The sequence below is a fragment of the Homo sapiens genome, chromosome 14, assembly GCF_000001405.40.
Source record: "Homo sapiens chromosome 14, GRCh38.p14 Primary Assembly".
NCBI lineage: Eukaryota > Metazoa > Chordata > Mammalia > Primates > Hominidae > Homo > Homo sapiens.
This window is the reverse complement of record NC_000014.9, coordinates 26,380,613-26,403,302: the sequence shown is the minus strand read 5'-3', so window position 1 is coordinate 26,403,302 and position 22,690 is coordinate 26,380,613. Positions and strand designations below refer to the sequence as shown.

The 22,690-nt window shown below is 39.7% G+C and overlaps 1 long non-coding RNA gene across 3 annotated transcripts, besides 1 other annotated feature; it reads left to right on the top strand.

The window, feature by feature from the left end:
• The first annotated feature begins 5,978 nt into the window (after positions 1-5,978).
• LOC105370418 (uncharacterized) lies at positions 5,979-21,069 on the top strand. Of its 3 annotated transcripts, XR_001750673.1 has the most exons (5): positions 5,979-6,150; positions 8,215-9,722; positions 11,610-11,781; positions 17,546-17,813; positions 20,835-21,069. It is a non-coding gene; the product is annotated as an uncharacterized LOC105370418 (long non-coding RNA). The 3 variants fall into 3 exon arrangements; XR_943640.2 differs by lacking the exon at positions 8,215-9,722; XR_001750674.1 differs by lacking the exon at positions 17,546-17,813.
• Positions 8,344-9,037: an enhancer, noted in NCBI's record as "NANOG hESC enhancer chr14:26863472-26864165 (GRCh37/hg19 assembly coordinates)". NCBI's record gives its function as "activates a minimal SCP1, AML or CMV promoter by ChIP-STARR-seq in naive H9 embryonic stem cells {active_cell/tissue: H9 hESC(naive)}" and the evidence as "EXISTENCE:reporter gene assay evidence [ECO:0000049][PMID:30033119]".
• Positions 21,070-22,690: the final 1,621 nt, after the last annotated feature.

Below are 22,690 nucleotides of genomic sequence, written 5' to 3'. Positions count from 1 at the left end.
ATTCTTAGCCATTTGGTTTCTGTGGCATTCTCACCTCTAATTTTAGATGTCAGCCTTGATTGGCCCATTTCCTCTAACCAAGGGACTGGTTCAAGGATGGGAATGTAATTGTATCAGATTCTACGACTTAATAGAAGATATTTCTAAGAAAGAGGAGCTTCCTCTTCTCTGGGAGTTAAAAATCAGTCTTTCTTTTCTGGTTGGCATGTTGAAGATGTACCATTCAGAACCACCGGGGAAGCACTGTGGCATCCTGCTGGGAGAGAAAGAGCTGCTTTGCCACAGTGTGGAACCTGAGGATAAACCTCCTTTAAGAAACATAAGTGTAGATAGACTAAGAAATTATGCCTTTGCACTATCATTTAAACTGCTGGAGCAAGCTTCCAGTGAAGCCAACCTCTGGCTTTTTCAGTTATGGGAGACAACCAATTCCCTCTATTGTATACATCAACTTGCATTGGGTTCGCTGCCACTGGAAACTACAAGTTTTCTCACTGGTGTATAAACCATGGACTGAATCAACATAAACCTGTATTTGAATTCCGACTACGTTACATTACATTACAACCCAAACAGTCATACAAACTTTCTCTGTCTTGTTTTTTCCATCTAAAAAATGAAGATAACATCCACTTCTCATGTATGTGCAAGTATATATGTGTATGTGTATATATATATATATATGATGTGCATGTGTGCCTATATATATATGATGTGTATGTGTGTGTGTATATATATATATATATATATATATATATATATATATATATATGTCGGTATTCTATGCCACATGTCTGGAAAGAGTTGTGATTCACCAGAGGTAGGTGGCGAGTAGCTATTTGCAAAGCTGAATTATGAATCTCTGATTTAATACACCTTTCTAGAGCTACAGAGTTTTATTTCCATTTGACAAAGATCTGTGGAGCTCTTACCAAGTTGTGACAAGCAGCCATTTTTCCCCACTTCGATGAGCTCATACTGTTGCTAGGCTGTGTCTTGTAAATCAGGAGAAATCATCATATAAATTCTTCTGGAGGGGGAGTTGGATATGTCAGCTAATCTCTGCCACATTAATTTCCAGTGGATCATTTTATACAAATTATATTACTTCCTCCCTGGGGTGGGAGGTGGGGGCAGAATCAATGGGGAGGAAGAGAGGTGGAGAGAAGAAAGGCTAATAGAAAGCTATACTATGTTTTCTTGACTTTCACATATACAGAAGGAATGGAAGGAAACATCTTACTACGACATGGGGCATAGAAATATTTAAATTGAAGACACTCAAGACTTTTATCTAAAATTCAAGAGACCCAACCTTGATTTCTAGACCTTATTGGGAATGCAGCAAACACAAGCATAATCCTCCTATTTCCAAACAGAGAGAAATCTAGTCACTGTTTTTCTGGTGATGGACAAACACCATTGAGTAGAAAGCACTATTAGAAGTGCTAAGGGGCAGATGGCTGATTGCACAATCATCTAGAACCAGGACCTGCTAATGTTTACCATCCTGAGCTGTGAATGAGGACAAGGTGCTGGGGACGTAACTCCAGGTTTATCTGATGGCTTGTCAGCAAATGCTGTAACATTTTCATCACCCAGGCTGACAAGTTGTGCCGAATCAGGAAATAACTTGTTTTGAGGCATGCAGATGTCTCTGCGTGTCTTGTAAACAATCTGGGGGGTGGGGGGAATTGAACAACAAAGGGCAGCTTTGCAGATCACAGCCCAGGATGATTGCTTGACAGGTCTGTGCCAACTCTGCTGGCGATCAAATAAAAACGAGCCGTTCCCCTTCTCTGAGGACTCCGTATTTTTAAAGGGGAATAATAAATGCAAAGCTGTGCAAAGCCTGGCTGGGGGAAATGTGAAATCCATCTCCTATCATTTGCATAACATAATCAGCAGTGCTCTGCTAATCAGGCTGGGGGAGGCAGTTGGAACACGTGTTTCATAGAGAGGTCCTGGAGCACGCCCCAAAGTGCATGCTGCGCCTTCCTGAGCTCTAACCCCTGGGTGACTGACACACTCTTGACACACTCTCCCCTCCCCCAGGACTGAAGACCACTAAAGCTGGCATCCCATTCTCACTGGTTTTTCCACGAGAAGGGAGAACCATATCACAGCAACATCTGCCTGCATTACCTGCGTCTGTCTTTTAAAAGAAACTGGCATTTGCCCAGCTTATAGCTGTGTGCATGGGAACATGACTGAGTAGGAGCAGTCCATACCATTTCTTCCTTTGTGCTTGAATGACCCATATTTCAGGGATGCAGCCCTGGCCATTTCGGAAGGTGTCTGGAGACCGAGGTAATTCATATCATTGTAATTCTACAGCACAAAGTGCCACTGGGTCCACTTTGTATTAATGTTTCCATGGCAATCCGATACTTGACATTTTATTTAAACTATTAATCTAGCATGGCTCACCAGCCAGTGTGAGGAAAGTTGAACCCCAAGATTTCACTTCTGGAATCAATATTAAACCAATAGGTAAGATGCATAATTAACTTTCACGGTTTTAAAAATCCAGCCACAATGGGTGCTAAACACATTACAAAATATAGGCTCACTCCAATTGCTCCCTTTGGGGCCTCCTTTTGTTACTTACATTCAAAAGAGATTGCAAGGGCTGGGCTTCTGAAGCTCCCCAGCCCCTGTCCAGGCCCTCCAACCAGCCCTGCCACATACACTGCAATTCTAGAGTCAATTCAAACTGTATATGATTAAAAGATGGAAATATTCCCCATGGACTTTGGGCAATTTATTTGTGAAAAAGATTTAATGAAGAATCTCAAAGCAGACAGTGCCCTACAAAGAAAGCTCATTTGTGAATCTCTATGTTCTCTTTGCTGCCCTGAGCTCATCTGAGGGAAGGAGGAGGAATCAGTGCCCTGAAGCTATTGCCAAGTGTATCGCATGTGAGTTTCTCAAGACAGAAATATTCTCAGGCAGCTAAAGGCATTAGAACAAGCTGTTTTTAGACGGTCATCCTCCAGTCAGGGCCTCTGCAGGCCAAATTGGGAGAGAGGCTCTTTGCCTTCAGTGTCCCTATCACTCTAGTTTCTGGTCCTCAGTGGTGTCCTCTGACCCTGGGTATCCAAAGGTAAATTCGCACAGGCTCCCTCTGTGAAGGTCATTGCTTCTTTCAATGTCACAGAAGGACCTTGTTTCATTTACCTGTCCTTTAGTATATGGATCCCAGGTGATACAAACCCCCGCACTCATATGATAATGGACAATAAAGGATAATAAAATCCGTTTCCTGGGACATTTAATCTTCAGGGTAGGAGGCATCTGAATTCAAATTCTCCCTCCTAGCTGTCTGAACTTGGGCAAATTATTTAAACTCCTTGGGCCTCAGGCATCTCATGTGTAATTTGGAAGAAATAAATTATCACTCATAGGGTTTGGTTTTGCATGTGGATTAAATAATATTATGAATGTAAAGCCCTTTAAGTACATTTTAAAATACCAGTTATTGTTTATAGTAGGAGAAACCCAATTACACATTTTAATCCAAATAACCTTTTAAGGGGAATCTGATGGGACCCTTCAATGAGCAAGAGAGGACTGGTTAGGGGATGCCTTTCAGAACACTTAAAATTGCATCAAAGTGCTATCCCCAATTTAATGTAATCCCAATCAAAATCCCTGCAGAATTTTTGTAGAAATTGACAAGCTGACTCCAGAATTGATATGGAAATGCAAACCACCTGTAATAATCAAAGCAGTCTTGGAAAAAAAGAGCAAAGTCAAAGGACTTAAATTGTCTGATTTTAAGATTTACTATAAAGCTATATTAGTCAAGAATAGTACTGACATCAGGATCAACATATAAATCAAAAGAATGTAATAGACAGCCTAGAAATCAAACCACACTTAGTCATTTGATTTTTGATGAAGATGCCAAAATAAGGCATCTGGGAAAGGAAAGTCTTTTTAACAAATGTTGCTGGAACAATTAGATATCCATATAAAACAAAACAAATAAACAAAAACCTCCATGCCTACATTACACCATATACAAAAATTAATTCAAGGTGGAGTGTATCTAAAGATAAGATCATTTAGAGAAAAATACAGAAGACTATCTTCAGGAATTGGGGATATGGGAAGGTTTCTTAGGTCATATAAAGCAATAACCACAAGAAGTTGATTAATTTGACTACAACAAAATTAAAAACTTCTGTTCATCAAAAAGCTCACTTAGGAAAACGAAAGGTAAGCCACAGACTGGGGAAAAATATACCAGAGACAGGGTATATAAGGGAATCAGGCTGAGTGTGGTGGTTCACACCTACAATCCCAACACTTTGGGATGCCAAGGTGTGAGGATTGCTTGAGGCCAGGAGTTTGAGATCAGCCTGGGCAACACAGTGAGACCCTGTCTCTACAAAAAATTTAAAAATTTGCTGAGTGTGGTGGTGCATCTGTAGTCCCAGCTACTTGGCAGGCTGAAGCTGGAGGAGGATGGCTGGAGCCCAGGAGTTTGAGGTTACCAGGAGCTATGCTTGCCACTGCATTCCAGCCTGGGCAACAGAAGAAAAGAGAAATCACACAACTCAATAATAAAAACACCAACAACTCAATAGAAAATAAAGAAAATATTTGAACAAACATTTTGCAAAATGAAACATAGCAAGTGGCCAATAAGCACATTAAAAAGTACTTAATATCATTAGTCATCAGGGAAATGCAAATTAAAGCCACAATGAGATACCACTTTAACATCCATGAATATGGCTAAAATTAAAAAGATCGATAACACTAAGTGTTATCAAGATTGTAATGGAACTCATACATTGTTGATGGGAAAATAAAATTGTGCAATCACTTTGGAAAAATTTTTGGAAGTTTCTTATAAAACTAAGCATATGCCTTATAACTGAATATTACCTATAACTCATGATTCCTTTCTTAGGTATTCATGCAAAAGAAAGGAAAACTATCTTCACAAAAATTCTTGTTTATGAGTGATCATGGAAGCTTTATTCATAATAGCTCAAAAGTGGGAATAAATTAGACATCTGTCAAAAGAAGAATGAATAAACAAACTATAGTATATTCACACATGAAATACTACTCAGCAGTAAAAATAAATTAATAGCTAATATATGCAGCAACACAAATGAATCTCAGAAACATTATATTTATGTGAAAGAAGCCATAAACAAAAGAATATATACTGCATGATTCCATTCATATGAAATTCTAGAGTAAGTAAAGCTAATTTCTGGTAGAAAAAAATTATAACGGTTGGAGTTGAAGATCAACTATTAAAGGGCATAGATACTGTTCTGATCTGGATAGAAATTTGGGCTACAAAGCTGTGTGCATTCAGAAAAAATTAGTGAAAATTTTCTTTATGCACAAATTTATGCATTTCATTATATGTAAACTATAAATCAAAAGAAAAAATTTAACAAATACTAAATTCTAGTTAATAATATGCAACTGTCTGCAATTTGCTTTGAAAGGCACCCCAAATCAGGCAGATTAAAATATAGAAAGAGGGATGGATAGACAGATATGTGATAAAGCAAGCACAATAAAATGCTAATGGCTGAATCTGAAGGGTATTCATATAAAATTATTTCATGAGTATGTTCGAAATTTTTCAAAATAAAATGTACGGGAAAAGTGTTACTCACTGCCTTTATTTACTTGCAATTACTCAAAGAACTCTCACAAGGCAGTTTCCACATTGCATTCTTTAGCCTTTTGATTGATTATATTCTATTTATTCATTTGTTTAACAAATAATTTTGGGGGCATCAGCTATAGAGTGGGTATTGGAATGGGCACTGGAGATCCAGTAGTGAATAAGATCATTACTTTGCTAGAAGGAACTTACATTCTAGTAGGTACCAATATATAATGAGCAAATAGACTGGTTACCAATGGTGATTTGTGTCATAAAAGAATCAGTCACACGGCTGAGACTGAAGGTATAGAAGGGACCACCTATTCTAGGTAGGGCAGCCACAAAGGGCCAGACATGTAAGCTGAGGCTGTTGGTAGAGCTCAGGGAAGAGCAACCCAAGGTGAAGACACAAGGTGTGTACAATTCTGGGCATACCTCAACAACGGAAAGACTAGTGAAGCTGGCCCAGGAATGGGGAACCGAACTGGCAGATACAAGATCAGGTGGGCCTTGTAAGTCATGGCAAGGTGTATTCTAAGTGCAATGGAAAGCACTGGAGACATTTAAACCAAAGTGTGACATGATCAGATTTATATTTTAAAATCAGTGTCCCTGCTGTGAGGAGAATGCCCTGAAAGGAACGTGAAGCTGGGTGCAGTGGCTCATGCCTATAATGCCAGAACTTTGGGAGGCCAAGGCGGCTGGATCACCTGAGGTCAGGAGTTCGAGACCAGCCTGACCAATGTGGTGAAATCCTATCTCTTCTAAAAATACAAAAAATTAGCCAGGCATGGTGGTGCACGCCTGTAATCCCAGCTACTTGGGAGGCTGAGGCAGGAGAATTGCTTGAACCTGGGAGGCAGAGGTTACAGTGAGCTGAGGTTCATGCCATTGCACTCCAGCCTGGGCAACAAGAGCAAAACTCAGTCTAAAAAAAAAAAAAGGAATGCGAGAGTTCAATGAGAGTTAGAGAGACCAGTGCCAGATGACAAATGACAGTAGCCCTGGCCAAGGTGGCGAGATTGGGCATGGCAGGAAGTGGATTGATTAACACTGTGTTATATTTGGGGCTGAATATGACTTTTTGGGTTCTAGTTGTCCAACGATATACAGGTAGGTAAGTAGGTAGACAGATATAGATATAAATATATAAATATAGATTATATACACATATAGATCTACATGCAGTTTCTGACTAAATGTCATATTGTGCCCTGAAGTCAGGAGGGAAAGGAGTTTTTTAAAAGTTTTTCAGTCTCGGGAAGGCAGACAGGGCAGTGCAGGTGAAGCAACTTTTCACCCATCTTCCAAGCCAGCAGTGCAGGTGGTTTTTGCCATCTTGTTATGTTAGTGGACTGCATATTAAGATCTTTCAAAAATTAGTTTTAAAAAACAGAGTCCTGCTTGTTCAAATGGGCTAAATTAAGTGGAGATTTAAAAATCAGAACATCATATTGTACCTGGTAAATACAGACAGTTTTATCTGTCAATTAAAAAAATTAAAAAATCATCAGTATTATTATCAGTGAAACTGTGTTGAAGATCATTGCTGTTGGAGAAAATAGAAGTCTGTTTTGGTTTGTTTTTTAACTAATCCTCCAGATTGCTTGTCAGTCTGTATTAATCAAAATCACCAGATACTACTCAGCACTGCTCCACTTTGCTCACATAGAAGCAGTCATAGCATTTCATCTTAAAAAATTATAAAATAAAAACATCTTGGCAATCTGGCTCACACATCTGTCACTGCACTGTTTGCCAGGGCTAATTTGGCTCATTTGGTTAAGTTAGTTGGCCAGGGAGCATCCCTATATTGCTCACACTTTACCTTCTACCCTGGGAAGCTTTCTATTCTGAGGACAATCTTCTTTGATGGAGAAGCTTGCATAGCTGTTCTTCTCTTCGAGACCTCTAAATATTATTTCAAAAACTGGTTTTGTTATGGTTAGAACCAAAAGCTAACTAATGTTTATATACAAAGAACAGTTCTGTTTACCCTTCTACTGTGAGGCATATTCACATTTGGTTGAAGTGAAAAAGCTCTGTCTTAATTGGATATATCAGAAAAGGAAGACATTAAACTAGCTAGATATGAGAACTTGTTTTCATTAGGTAATTGCCGTCGGAGGTCTTAATGAAGGTAGAATAACCTTTCCTCAAACAAACAAATTGTAATTCTTAATATGACATGCAAATAAAAATCTAATTCATGGTTGTACATACTGGGCCTTTATGGCTCACTATTCTTTTCTGTGGGCCCAATATATTTTTATGAAAAGAACTACCTCATAGCTCAAGGACTATGGCCTTCCTCTGTGGAAAGAAGTTGGCTACTGAATCCTGCTTTCCACCCAGGAGGACACTATTACCTCTCCCCGGGAAGGATGTGTGCTGCTGAGTTGTTGCTCTGATGAAATATAACGGATGTACTACAAAACATCAGAAGTTTACCTGGTCTCCTTTGCAACTAGAGTACTCATGCAGGGTGGTTTAGCTGGGGACTGAGGGGAAGTGGTTCACACAGGGTTGGGCTAAAGTCTTTGGTTTCCTTCTTCCTTGTGGTCCAGGTGAGGTAGCAAAGGCCATTCCTCCTCCATTGTGCTGTGTTCAAGAAAACTGCAGAGTTAAGAAAGAACAAGGATCATCAATCAGGACTTCTGGGACTTTCATTTTTAACCAGAGTTGAAAACACAGGGGCTTGGAGACCTTTCTGGTAACCCTTTAAACTGAAGTCAAAGGGTTCAAAAAGAAAAGGAAAGTCTATGAAATATATACCGAAGGCAGAAACCACAGTGAGAGAGGGAAGTAATATGTGATTTGGGATAGATGCCTTTGACATATTCATTGATCTCAGTGACTTGCAGAGTGCTGATAGCACTCTGGCCTCAGGGTGAGGCGCCTTGCCAGCTTCCAGATCAAAGGAGTGCCTAGGTGCTGAATCCCTGGCGTACTCCCAAGCAAAAGTGCCTGGAGCCACATTTGCTAATTACAGGTTGTGTTCTGCTGTTTCCAAACAGGGTGAAAGTGACAGAAGTTTAACTGTGAATAATTACACACTTGAATAAGTATGTGATTAGCACTATTTGTTGTGGTTGGGACTGGAGTGATGGGACAAGAATGGAGTGATTGCATTATTTACAGCTTAATTGTAGACAAGTAATTACTTATGTAAGCTGATGGTGTGAGGTCACAGAGGACCTGCAAAAGAATGTAGATGATCTGAAATTCAACTTCTCAAGCCAGTCACTGCGCCTCCCCCATCCCTTTTGAGCTTGATAAAGAGAACCAACTATGCATTTCTTGAATGAAATGCTTAGGAATGTTAAATGTCTTGTTCAGTCTAAGCAAAGGATCAGCAGAGATATTTTAAAAATCTCAGCTTCCAAAGTAATAAATCACAAATGCCACCTAGTGGCTTTTAGTATCCAGTGGCTGCATTATCTGTAGACTGTAGCTATAGCCCAGTTAAGGAGAGGACTTTTCTAGTCGGGGAGTGGGTTGTTCAGTTAGGAAAATTGAGATGAATGGACCAGGACTCAAAGTCCTTCAGCCTGCCTCTCCCTTCACTCAGCTCTACTAGAACATCAGAGCTGAAAACTCCCCCCACCTTACACCATTGTAACTTCCAGTAGTGCAGTAGAAATTTGACTGCAAATCACTGTGCAGTTTTTATTTTCCCCTGAGCCACTAACATAATAAATGAGGAAGTCAACAGCTTTCATGATTTGGGAGTAGATTCATGGTTGCATTTTGCTGGCTGCCGCTTCTCATTCACAAGGTGGTTGAAAGCCACTTTTCCAATATCACATGCCTGGTTTCAAGTGTTCAGGTCTAGATTTAAATCTGGAGGGATTCTGTTGTCATAGACCCTCCCAGGGAGTGTGCTATTTGAGAAATGTATTGAGAAAGGTGGGGTTGAGAGAATGAACAGCCCTCTCCCCAGCTTGTTTTTATAATATTGCTAAAAATAAATAGACAAATCAATTTTCCTCTAACAGCTCAACACTGGACAAGTAAAATTCTTTGACTAAGATGCAGAAAATATTGCTGTAAACCCAACAGCACAAGCTGAGAGGTAAACAGGCCTGCTGTGCTCTCCGTGTAGATGCTGCCTTTCCCAACCAATTGAAACCACTGTTTCTCTGGTTGTAACACCAGACAAAAAAAAAAAAAAAAAAAAAAAAAAAAAGGAATGGTGATCCTCCAGTTGTTTCAGGCCACAGATTCAAGAATATTATTTGTAGGAGGAGGCTACTTTCCATTTGAAAGAGCTATGATTTCATCTGTCATGCCATTTATCATTTCCTATTTTGGGTCAATTTCCCTCTGCATTTGGAGCCCTCAGCAGAGTGTCCATGCCACTTCTTTGTGGGACATTCTCCTGCAGATGACCACTCCTACCCTACCCAGGACAACATCTTCACTCCCAGGATTGTCCTCACTCTCCTGGACACTATCACCTCTCAAAACATATCTAATTAGATACAGCACTTTCTTTTCACAAGGATACCACTTATTGGTATGATATCAATATCATACCAAGGAAGGAGTCTCTTTCCTTCTCTAATGTGGGGACATCACCCTTGGATAGTGTATTAATCACACTTTTATTTTCTGTATCTCTGAGGCTTTGACTCCTGGGACTTGTGGATCCTGGAGAGATTGACCCTCCTAGGGCAAGTCAATTTCTAGACATAGCAAAAAACTCACTCCTTAGCCGCCTTTCATATGCAAACTAACCAATCTAGGACCCAGCAGCCCACCGCCTACTTTATCAGGCTTTTATACTCTTGCCACTATTCCCTTCCTTTAATCATCCCAGAGCCAACAAGAACACTGGAGAAGTCCCTATGCTCCAGAGCCCATGCAAATTATTCAGGCTATGCAATCCTAAACCAGCTTACCCCGCTCGGCCCATTCCTTCCTAGGGAAACGACAGTTGAGGCTTGTGCCCATACTTGGCCTTCATTTCCTCTGCCTCCTGACTGACCCCGGTGCTTCCCAGTGCGACCCTGGGTGGCATGATGTGCCCCACCCCCCATAGGAACTTGGAGTAATAATCTTTTCAATGGCAGTAGTCCTCTGATCTGTTGGCCTCACTGTCCCTGAATAATAATACAATCTATTTTTTAAAGCCGATAGCCTTTGTCTAAACCTAGCCATGCTTCTCCAGAATGCTTATTCCAGGATATCACTTCCTCTTTCTTCCTTAGAGCTCTCATCCCAAATGCCCACTAAACAAAAATATACACATCTTACAGTAGGAAAGCCTCATTTCATCAGAAAATCAATTGTGTTGGGCTGACACTTGTCAGCTCCTTTCTGGCTGTTCTCCTCCCTCTGTCACAAACCCCACCTCTGACCACCTAGGGGGATATTCTACTCTCAAGGATGGACAACTCCTCCATCCCACCTCACTCTGTCCACGGAAGGGCATATCCCTTTTCTTAGAGATGTTTGGCTGCTTTCTTCTCTTCCCCCAATTCTTAATCTCCTGCTAATTCAGAAATAACCCTTTTGGAACTATTTATTACCTCTTTCACTTCACCTTTCAGGTTACTTTGTGATCATGTTTGTTTTGAAATATCTAAAATGGGCTGTGTATTTTGATAAAAAGAGATTGGCTTTCAGCCAAAGAGTAAAGGGCTGAAATGGAAATGTCAGTGAAATGGGAAGCTCACTGGAAGTTCAGCTTGGAGTCTGACCTTAGCACTACCAAGGACAAAATGAGTTACTGTGGCCAAGTCACAACTAATCAATACATTATGTTTTCAAATGTAAACTGAGAAAACAAGTCAGAGGACATATCAAGAGTCATTAATAGAAGGGACACTGTGCACCCTTTGGGAGCAGCCCCTCCTAGGATACCCACTTTAGGATAATTCTGAAAGGGTAAAAAAGATGCATCTTTCTGCCATGAGTAAAAAGTCTCTTTCCAACATGCTCTTTGCCTTCTATGTAGTGATGTCTTCTGGCTTTCAAGTTTTAAAACCTGTATGCCCTTGATCCTACTCCTTCCTCCACTATTCACCTCCTTGGAAATCTGAGAGACATTCATGTCCCAGGAGTGACCAGCTTGAAGAGAGCTGAAACCCAGCCCCATTGCACAGCTGGCTCCCAAGGATCTATCTTGGGTAAGTAGTCTCCAATTATCCCAGTACCTTAGGGAGCTCATTTTGGATTTTGTAGGACAGGTGACAGTGTCATTCACACAAGGGCTGGTTTAGGTCATACTTTCCATATAAGCAACTGAGCAGCACTCTGATCTCTTCTTCCCTCCCAAATCTTCTCCATTTAGCATTTTTCTATGATACAAACACTGGCTCAATTTTACACATTTATGACACTGGTAAGGAAATTTGATTCTTACCAAAATGCTTTCCCACAGAGCTGTGCTTTCTAAAACAACTGAAAAGGTATGCTTTGAGCACAAACATGTTGCAGGTTGCCAGACACCAGCTTAGCCCTAGCTATTGTTCAAAAGTTCAATGAATAAAGCAGAGTGTTTTTACCTTCTCCTCTTTTCTTTTCTAGCTATACCAATAGTGGAGAAATAAGCCTCCTGTCCTAAAGGAACTAAGCCTACTGTATTTTTACAATTAATATGTGTTAGTTATTTTATGGAAAGGGGGCAATGAGAGGCTTTACATTGTCTTTGACTTTCATTTCACAGCCATCAGTGTAAAAGGTTCTATCCTTCACCACTTGAGCAGCCAGCCACTAAACATGCCAGTCAGAAGAGGATGTTAAATTGCTGGCGACTGCAATGGCATAAGCTATGTTTAATCATTTACTTTGAATCTGTTTAAGACGATAATACCCTAGCCTATAAGAGAATCAATATGTTGCATTAAAACAGGATTTGATGTCGCATAATACAATATTTAAAAGCACAATGGAAGAGATTCTCAGAAGAACAATTCAGCCCTGAGTAGAAACAGATAATGACTGCTGTGATTTCCACTCTCCTGTTTTTAAAGGAGAAGTGATTTTTTTTTGAAAGACATATTTTTATCAAACTTTTATCAAAACTTGTAAACTATATGAAGCCATTGAGCCCAAATGCCTTTAGATTAGTCTTTAAAGAAGCACATAATATGCCTAGGAGGCAGGGCAGTGTAATCAAAATTCCCGTTTTAATGAAGTAGCAGCTCAAAATGTCATGAGGTACCATGCCAAAGCAACAAGTGAATGTCCCAGGGTACTTGTTGAAGGGAATTATCACTCTTCCTTACTCATTTTCTGCCTCCAATAAAAACAGCAGGGTCTCTGGCTTGGAACCAGGCTGAAAGGAGTAGCAGCAGTTCTTGAGAGGATGACAAGAAACAGGAGTAGAGTGGAGGCTGGGCCACCTCTCCTCCCTACAGCTTTTAGGTGGTGAGTCAAAATGGCTCTGTACCAAGCAAACTGGAGATATAACTGAGCTCACTGAGGGAGTTTCCAAGGGATGCATCCTCCAAGACCTCCTTATGTACTTAGGCGATAGTGCCAAGTGTTTGGGTTTAGTAAAAAAAGGACTTTACTGGGATTTGGGCTTGGCCACTAATTTGCTGACTTTAAGGTTTCAGCTCTTCTAAAATTGTATGCAAAGCCATTTCCTGTTCCACAAGGACTGCCTGGGAGTTAGTGAATCAATGACTCAGATGTGCTTTGAGCTCCTTGGCAAGTTTCTAATATTCCAAAGTGTTGCTCTATGTGAAAGATTTCCTGACTCCAGTTGGTTCAACAGCAGTTACATCTAATGCCAATCTCATTGAGCTGGGACAGGTAGAAGACTGGGATTTCCTTTGTTCAACCACCCCATGACCTAAGGCAGTCTGGCACAAAATGGTTTTGTGGATGGATGAGCATCTGTTCTTATTTACAAGGATGCCACCAAGTACTGCCACGTTCATTTCCTACCTCCTGGGAGTTTTGTGAGGTTTATCATGATTATTTCAGCAGTGCACCAGTGAAGACAAGAGATTTGGAAGTGTAAAACATATTTAGTGTTTGCTGGTGACTAACACATGCTTTCAATTTGCCACTTACTTTAAATCTGTGATTTTCTTCATCACTGAATTTATGTTGAATGTGCTTAGAAGGTGAAAGTCGGTGAGGCAAAGCATTTTGAAATTGTTCTGGTGATTTTGTTTTCTCTTTAAAGCTCACATTGTTCAACACATAGGTAGACACAAAGCTTGCATATCCTATTAACAGAGGCACACTTATGTTGTGGCTCTTCTCAGGATGTTGTCATGTTGCTGACCTCTCCCCTCTCTCCTTTCATCTCCCTTTCCCAGGGTAATTTCCTCTGTCTGTATCCATGGCTTCCGCTGAACTTCAGATCAGAATGTATACCATTATGTTCCGCAGCTGCCAATCAAAGGATAAACTTTATTTTCATCCTAAAATTTATATTTTTCCATATAACTATGAAGTTTTGGAGTTACACTTGAGCCTTCTCTCTTTCTCATTCCCAATGTCCACTTAATTATCACATTCTGATATTCTATCTACTTACCATCATACACATCAATTTCCTCCTTTCTATCTATACTTGCACTATTGTCTGGGATATTGTGAAAGCCTCCTGACACTGCTACAGACTCAGTCTCACTTCCTTCCAATCCCTTAATTTGCTGTCAGAATGATCTTTATAATACAAAAATCTCATTGTACTTAAAATCCTTTAATAGTTCACATTGTTTTAAAAACAGAGCCATGATCTTTCATGTTTCTGTCCTTGGGCAAATTGTTATCTATTTCTAGAACGATTTTCCAGCCACTTTCACTTAAAAAAATAAGTTTAGCTATTATGTGTCCTTCAAATGTCAATTCAAGTATTCCCTAAAAAATCAGAAAGTTTTCTCGGAAGCCCCTGATCTAGATTAAGTGCCTCTTCCTCTGAGCTTTCCAAATACCCTGTGCATACCTAAATCACAGCAAATACCATACACCGTTGTTTTACAGGTTTTGGCTTACCTGTGTCCTCTCCCTCCATCACTCTAAGGACTCCCAAAGTCCTGGTATGTTTCTTTTGTAATCTATTTCTGAAGCCCAATAACAGCCACAATCAATTAAACCAATAAGCAACTTAGATATCGAATGGGCAACCTTTCTTTCACCTTGGTGGAAAGTACGTTTTGCCTGTGCAAAGAATGACAAAGCCCACTTAATGTTATAAAGGCAGGGCTATAGGTTTCTGATTTCACGTTCTAGAGGACTGAGGGAATATATCATCAGAAAGATTCCTTTGAATCTAGACAAAACAGATCTGGTAATCTAAGTCAAGAAGTGGATTAGCATTGTTCCTAAAAACACAAAATGGAAGAATGGTGGGAAGTCCAAATAAAGTGTGTCTGAGAGAGGAATGCTTACTCAGTATTCCATTAGCCTTCCTATATTCCCAGCACCTTTACATTAGATCTGACCATGTAACCAGCACTGGCTAATAAAATATGACCTATGTCATTTTCAGGATAAGGCAGTGAAAAGTCCATGTATGAGTCTTTCTGTCTTCTGATGCCAGGGCCATTGAGGAGACAGTGCTGTACATAGTGCATCTATAAGAAAGTAAAATTCTATCTATTTGAGCGACAGTATAAAATAGCCTTATATAGAATGGTGTGAGTGAAACTAAAATGTTTTTCATTAAACTTCTGAGATTTTAGAGGTTGTTCATTATTGCAGCATAATCTAGATTTTCCTAAGACAGAGAGGATTTAGAAAAAGAATAAAATGTAAATGCCCGTTTAAAATTGGACAACAGTAGCTTGATGCAGATAAGTTGATGTCGTCTTTCTCCAAGGATATTTAGATCTAAATTCTTCTAAGAAATAGTATTGAGAGATAATTATCCATAAATCTCTCACATGTCTGCATGACTTGTGAGCAGAGGTACACTGCCTTTTTCTGAATTATACTTTCAAGGATGTTTGTATAGTGAACATCATTGGAAAATAGAAGTAGTATCCCTTTTTGGAGCAAAGAGCAAGGTTGCTTTCAACCTTGGAAGAGACCTTTAGTTTCTGTCTCCAGCTGCATGTTGGAGTTGACAAGAGTTGAAGTTGAAGTTGGAGTTGAAGATGACAAGAGAGTGTAAAGAGCTCAATACTCCCTATCAGAAACCACCTCTCCCTGCAGCCAGTTGGAATGCCAAGTGTCCCACTAGAATTCAAGGAAAGGAGGACTTTCCAGATAAAGTATAGGGAATTCTAAAGACAAGCCATTGAAGTTAGCTACAAATGTGTTTCCCTTCTAGCCTGGACCATTTCCTTACAAAGAAAAGAAATTTGCACTTTAACTAGACTCACATTTCATTAAGGCCATACAAAATGAAAAAAAAAGAGCAATTAATCTATAGTTGCAATTAATTAGGAAAATTAATCCAGATAATTGAGATCACAATGTAGATTTTAAAAATGTGAAATATCTGCTATGAATGTCTATATTGATCATGTTAATTGAATATCTTTCTTGGGCATAGGAAAACAGCATGTTGCATGGCAAGAGTAATGCCATCTTGAAACAAAATCACCATGATGACTGATGTTTGACTCCTGGATAGATGTTCTTGCAGCAAGGTCTTTAAATAATGCCTATAGCACAGATTACCCCTCATAAAGAAACAATACCCTTAACACAGATACCCTCATAAAGATGTTTATCTTTATCATCCCTAGTGATCATGTTTCAGCAAAACAGTTTGAGACATAATCAGCTATTCATGTCTTTACCCTAAAAGCTTGCTATATAAAGAATATTTCTGGAGAGTGGGTGCAGGGATCTACTCTCCGCAGCCACTTGAGACATTGCTTCAGTTCATTAGTCCCTATTAAATATTTTCTTTCTCAGAAAACTGGATTTGTCAGCCTCTTTCTTTGACCCCTCAGCTTCCTCAGCCTTGAGAGGTAGGGTTGCATATACCTGCTCACCCCAGTAAAATGAGTGTCCTTCACTTTCTACACTTTCAACCCTGAATGAAACAACAAATATTTGGGTGCTTGTGAGTTGTGGGTTAAACACAGAAGGTGAACAATATTTCAGTACTTTTTTTTTTTTTTTTTTTTGAGACGGAGTCTCGCTCTGTCGCCCAGGCTGGAGTGCAGTGGCGCGATCTCGGCTCACTGCAAGCTCCGCCTCCTGGGTTCACGCCATTCTCCTGCCTCAGCCTCCCGAGTAGCTGGGACTACAGGCGCCTGCCACTGCTCCCAGCTAATTTTTTGTATTTTTAGTAGAGACGGGGTTTCACCGTGTTAGCCAGGATGGTCTCGATCTCCTGACCTCATGATCCGCCTGCCTCGGCCTCCCAAAGTGCAGGGAATCTCAGTATTTTCTTATAATTGATGATAGCTCAGAAAAAGTGGTTGCATATCTTATTTCTTTTCCATTTTCAAAATATAAATGTTTGCTTATAAAATGTGTGGAATATCAAAGTAATGATGCCTACTAAGGTAACACCTTTTATTCCTAATGCATTTTTGCATGGATTTATTCCAAAAGTGGGGTGATTCAAATGTGCTGTGCATTGTATGAAGAATGCAAACTGGATAATACTTTTGCAGTTGTGGATCAAGTGTTGGTGCCATGTTTCTATTCGTGATACTCGTTGAAGACAATCTATCACCATCTGGCTTCAGTCTGTCTTTTTCAGGTTGTCTGGATTGTTTAAAGAGGGCTTCTAGCCATGGCCATGATAGTATGAAGATAAACACAAATGATTTTTAAAGGGTTAGAGCCCAAGACCTTGTTCTCTTCAGCACTGGTTTATTTAATACAAAGAAAGTCTCCTAGGCATAAGGATAGGACTTCCAGTGACCCTAAATTTTAGATACCTCCAGGAAAGTATTATCTAAATATTATCTTTAAGGTAATATTCTAGAGTACTCATCAGTACTGCTCTCTGATTATTTCCAGCTCTCGACTTCCTAAATACAGAGTTTATTTCACCTCCTGGCTCCCTTGTGGATGTAGGGGCCATGGGACTAGTTCTGGACGAGGCATCGTAAAGGAAAATGATATGTGTCAACTTAGGGCTGAGCATTTAATTGATTGCCCAAGACCTCCAAGTCTTGCTGTGTTCTTTGGCATACTACACAGTGATGTTTGCAGTGGGAGCTACTCTGTTAGCCTGGGTGACTAAATGATAATGATATGCAAAGCCTCCTTGTTGATCTATGATGAGGTATGTAGCTTGAGCAAGAAATCAACCTTTGTTGTTGATCATAGTGTTGCTTGTTAACTTAGCATGACCTCGCCTGTTCTCACTAATGTATTTTCAATGACCCAAAGTCACATTAGCAGTTATACAGTTGAAATGTCACAACTCCTTCATAGTGTTATTATGGTAAACATTTCTGATTGATCCTTGCACTCTTTCCTGTCAACTTCAGTCAAATCCTTCTATTTGAGTGGAGGAAATACTTTTGTTTTCATGGAACCCTGAGAATACTTGACATGAAAGAGATTCTTAGGGAAATCCTTAATGGAAAAATAGAGGGGATTCCATTTCTGGAATGTCCACCCTTTCCTTCTGATAACAACAGAAAAGGAAATAATAAGATTGGGACAATGACAGTAGAAACCCAATTGGATATTTACCTGGTAAGATTTGAGATTGACCCTGGTTTTTAGTTTATTGGGTATACTGAGCAAACTCATACTACAATATTTGCTTTTACATATGCTAAATATAAAGGAAATATAAATCTTTGAAGAGAGAAAAAATGTTAAAAGCACACAAGCTAAAGAATGTTTATTTTCAAAGCATTAACCATTTAGTAAAAGGGAATTTAAGGGAGCAAATGGATCATAACATTTTAGAGTTATAAAGAATATTACATGTTATTCAGGCCACTCTCCTGACATCATAGGTGAGGAAATTAAAGCCCCCAAAGGTTAACTGAATTGCTGTGAGTCCAAATGGTTATTTGATGGGACAATTGGTTTAAATTCATTGTTTCTAAACAATGCAACCAAGAAACCATTTATTGGGTATGGCTTACCATGCTTCATTCTGCAAGACACTTAACACACTGAACACAACTGATTAGACCAGGGTTGCTTCTTCAGTTGAAGACTATGAATGGACTAGATGAGAATTTATGAAGACATTGGCTTGGGGTCTTTTGCTCAGTGGATCCATTAATTCCTACAAAAACAAAGCAACAAATAAAAACAAAACCTAACTGAACCAGTTAGATCCTTTTGGAAGAGTTTGAGTACAAGAAATACTTAAGGTTACCAAATAGTAGTTGGAAAAAGTAGAAAGAGATGTTGGAGTCAGAGGAGCTGAGTCATGAGAAAAAAAAGACTTATGGACTGCTGTTCCATTCTGAATAAGAATTCTACTCTTTATTCACTCTGGTTTTCTAAAGCTAGACTGCTTCCGGAGCTACATTTTGCCATGTATTCCTGTAAGATTAACTCATTGTTTTTGATAACCTGACTTTTAAAAAAATGTTATCCTGAAATAATTAAACAAGCCCAAGTTTCCTCTGCTGGAAGTATGTGATAACTTCTCTATCTTGCTCCCACAAACAAAACACCAACTACAGGCCGGGCGCGGTGGCTCACGCCTGTAATCCCAGCACTTTGGGAGGCCGAGGCGGGTGGATCATGAGGTCAGGAGATCGAGACCATCCTGGCTAACAAGGTGAAACCCCGTCTCTACTAAAAATACAAAAAATTAGCCGGGCGCGGTGGCGGGCGCCTGTAGTCCCAGCTACTGGGGAGGCTGAGGCAGGAGAATGGCGTGAACCCGGGAAGCGGAGCTTGCAGTGAGCCGAGATTGCGCCACTGCAGTCCGCAGTCCGGCCTGGGCGACAGAGCGAGACTCCGTCTCAAAAAAAAAAAAAAAAAAAAAAACACCAACTACAGCACATAGCATACACTCATAGGGATCCTTTTCAAATTCCTTTTCAAATAATCTAACTGAGGCAGGGAGTATTTGTGTAGGAAAACAGAATACTAGACATAGACACTCTGCAATTCTGACTTTTACACATAATTCAAGGCTATCTGTGCCTTGAAATTAAGATAAAGACCATTGTTATTGCTGTCAGTGGTTCCTCCTAAAGCCTCTTTCTCACAGTAATTGCTCACATACAGTACTTACTGTGTTCCAGGACTGTTTCCCATACTTGACCTATAGTAGCTCATTTAATCCAGGGTAAACCTATGAGATAGCTGTTGCTATTGACATTTCTATCTCAGTGTTTACATTTGAGGACACTAATACCCAGAGAGATACCTTGCCTAAGGTCATATATCTGGGAAGTGGTGGATCCCAGGTAGTCTCACTACAGAGTCCAACATCTAATCTCTTTGCTGTAGTGTTATAGTGACTTAAATTACCAGTGCATCCTCTGTTTGTCTCCTACTAAGGAGAAATTATTAATGCTGTTAAACAGTCCACCATTATAATCATCATATAACTAACAGATTCATTTCCAATCATAAATTTGATCATTAAACTAATGGTCGTGGTCAATAATTTTCATTTACAAAGATCCTTTTTTTGTTTTTTTTTTGAGACAAAGTCACTCTGGAGTGCAGTGGTGTGATAGCTCACTGCCACCTCTACTTCCTGGGTTCAAAGGTTCTCATGCCTCAGCCACCTGAGTAGATGGGATTACAGACATGCGTCACCACACTTGGCTAATTTTTGTATTTTTAGTAGAGACAGGGTTTCGCCATGTTGGCCAGGCTGGTCTCAAACTCCTGAGCTCAAGTGATCTGCCCGCCTCGGCCTCCCGAAGTGCTAGAATTACAGGCGTGAGCCACCACACCCGGCCCCATCATCCTTTTTAACATTCATGTTTCCTGATAAATGACTTGAAGTGGAGAAGGGTGGGATATGCATCCTCAGCTGACAAGGAAGAACACAGAGTTTACTACTTATATTATACTGCAGGCCAAGAAACCCAAAGCCAAACATGGAAATTAGAAATACCTCTTTGGTTTTTCTCAAGATCCCAGGAATTTATAAATAAGTATGATAAACAAAACATTCCCCTTTGGTCTCTGTGATTGACTGGTGTCTACATGTCGCATGAAGGCATTGTTTTCTTTCTGTATGTCTTCATGGTTAAATGACTTAACTCTCTAACAGCTCTCACTAGAGTCCTTGCTTGATTGACCCATGATCCATGATCCATCCATTTTGCAATAACACATGCTTCTCTTTTCTCTACCTACTGATTAGCACCCAGCTAACTTCTCTACCCTGGAGGATCAGGTGAAAGAAAAACACCAGATGGGAAGAAAAGTGGAGAGAATGATTGAGCCTGGAACCTCAGCATGGCATTATCCACATGGGCTGTTTTATCAGTATGCCTTTTTGTAACCCCAGATAAGGGAAAACTGTAGCCAGAAAAAGATGAAAACAGGGAAATTCAACCATTGCAGGCATTTATTCTTATCTTTTGTTTTTATAAAGAATGACAAATAATCTGAGGGTATAAAAATCATTGCTTTGCATGAAACCCAAATTTACAGTTTGTGTATATGCATTTTCTTTTCTACAGCCACTAATGTATTGATGCCCTATGTTACCACTCACTTGGAAGCCTGGGGTAGGTGGCTGGGAGGAGAATGGGAGGAACAGAGGGGAGAGGGAGAGAACTCGAATAGACTTTTGAGATTAGTAGTCTAATTCTAATGCTCCCTCCTGTTTCCTCCTTCTCCTAATAAGGAAAGCGAGGCCCCAGGAGGTTAACTGACTTGCACAAGGTCAGATGAGCTCAATTGTCTTCTAAACTCCACGCGGAATTTTTTCATTTCCAGCTTTAAATTATTTATTCAGTTTTTTGCCATTTTCACTTCATTGAAATGAACTCTCTCTTCTTGCTATTATATCCTGGAAGCTATTTATCCAACCTGACTTAATTGCATTTTCATGCAATTGTATTACATTTTGCAATCGCTATTACATTTTATATTCTCTATGTTTTTATGCCCTAGTGCCAACTGTTAGCATCTTCTGTGTCCTGCTTTATTATTGAATTACCCCAGGTGTTTCTTAAGCCAGATTTACTTATATTGTAACACGGAGTTAAAAATAGTGACACAGGCAGAATGTTTCATATCTTATCTTAGGGTCTATAAAGGGGAAGAAGTTGAAAGCTAAGGGTTGTTATTGTAACTATTTCAGTACTTGCCACATTAGGGCTGTGATAAATTCAAGTCCTTGGTCTCTGTGTTTCCAAATTTCCCTCCTGTCCCCTCTCTTTCTCATAGGTCCATTTGGAGAAGCCAGTCTCTCCCAGAACCACCCGCCTTCTGAAATTAGCTTTAGTAAGTCATTGCAAACATCTAACATTAAGTAAATGAACCCAATTTAAAAAGGATTTACACAAATTAGATAGAAAAGCTCAGGGGAAACCAAAGCAATCCTCATAGGTCAAAAAGCCTAAGGAAATTCTTACAAACATTTCCTTGTTTTCTCAGTGGGCGTATTGCTAAATACAAACTGAGGCGAAGTTTGAGAGCTTAGGGCAGATGGAAATTTTGAGACATAAAAAAAAATCTTCAAAAGTAAAGAAAAATTTATTATAGCAAAAGTCAATAAAATATGTGGCCAAGTAAATGTCTTTTTTTTTTTTTTAATAGCCCAGTAGCATAATAGCACTTGCCAATTATGGAAGAGAAATTTTGATGCCTCCTCAGGCTTGGGCTTTATTTAGAAGGACTCCAATCCAATCCACTGTCAGATGAATTATATGCACCATAGACTTCAAAGGCTTTATGCTCAATGGGAATGTCCAGGATAAAGTGCTGTGAGAAATAAATGATTGTATTGCAGTGCAGGATGCCAAGCTGCAGTGATCACTTTTCAGTCACTGGAAAAATGTGGTGTGCAAATGGATGTCACACTGTGATAAGGGGGAGTCCAGAAATATAGTGGCAACACAGTGAGCAAACTTAATCAAGGCAGATCCTTCACTTCCCTTGGCCAGCTATGCTCTGTAGGTGGTGATTTTACTGATGGACACAGTTGTGTCTATTATGTGTAAGCATAGAAGGCCGCAATGCTCCTTTCTTACATTAGATATGACAGAG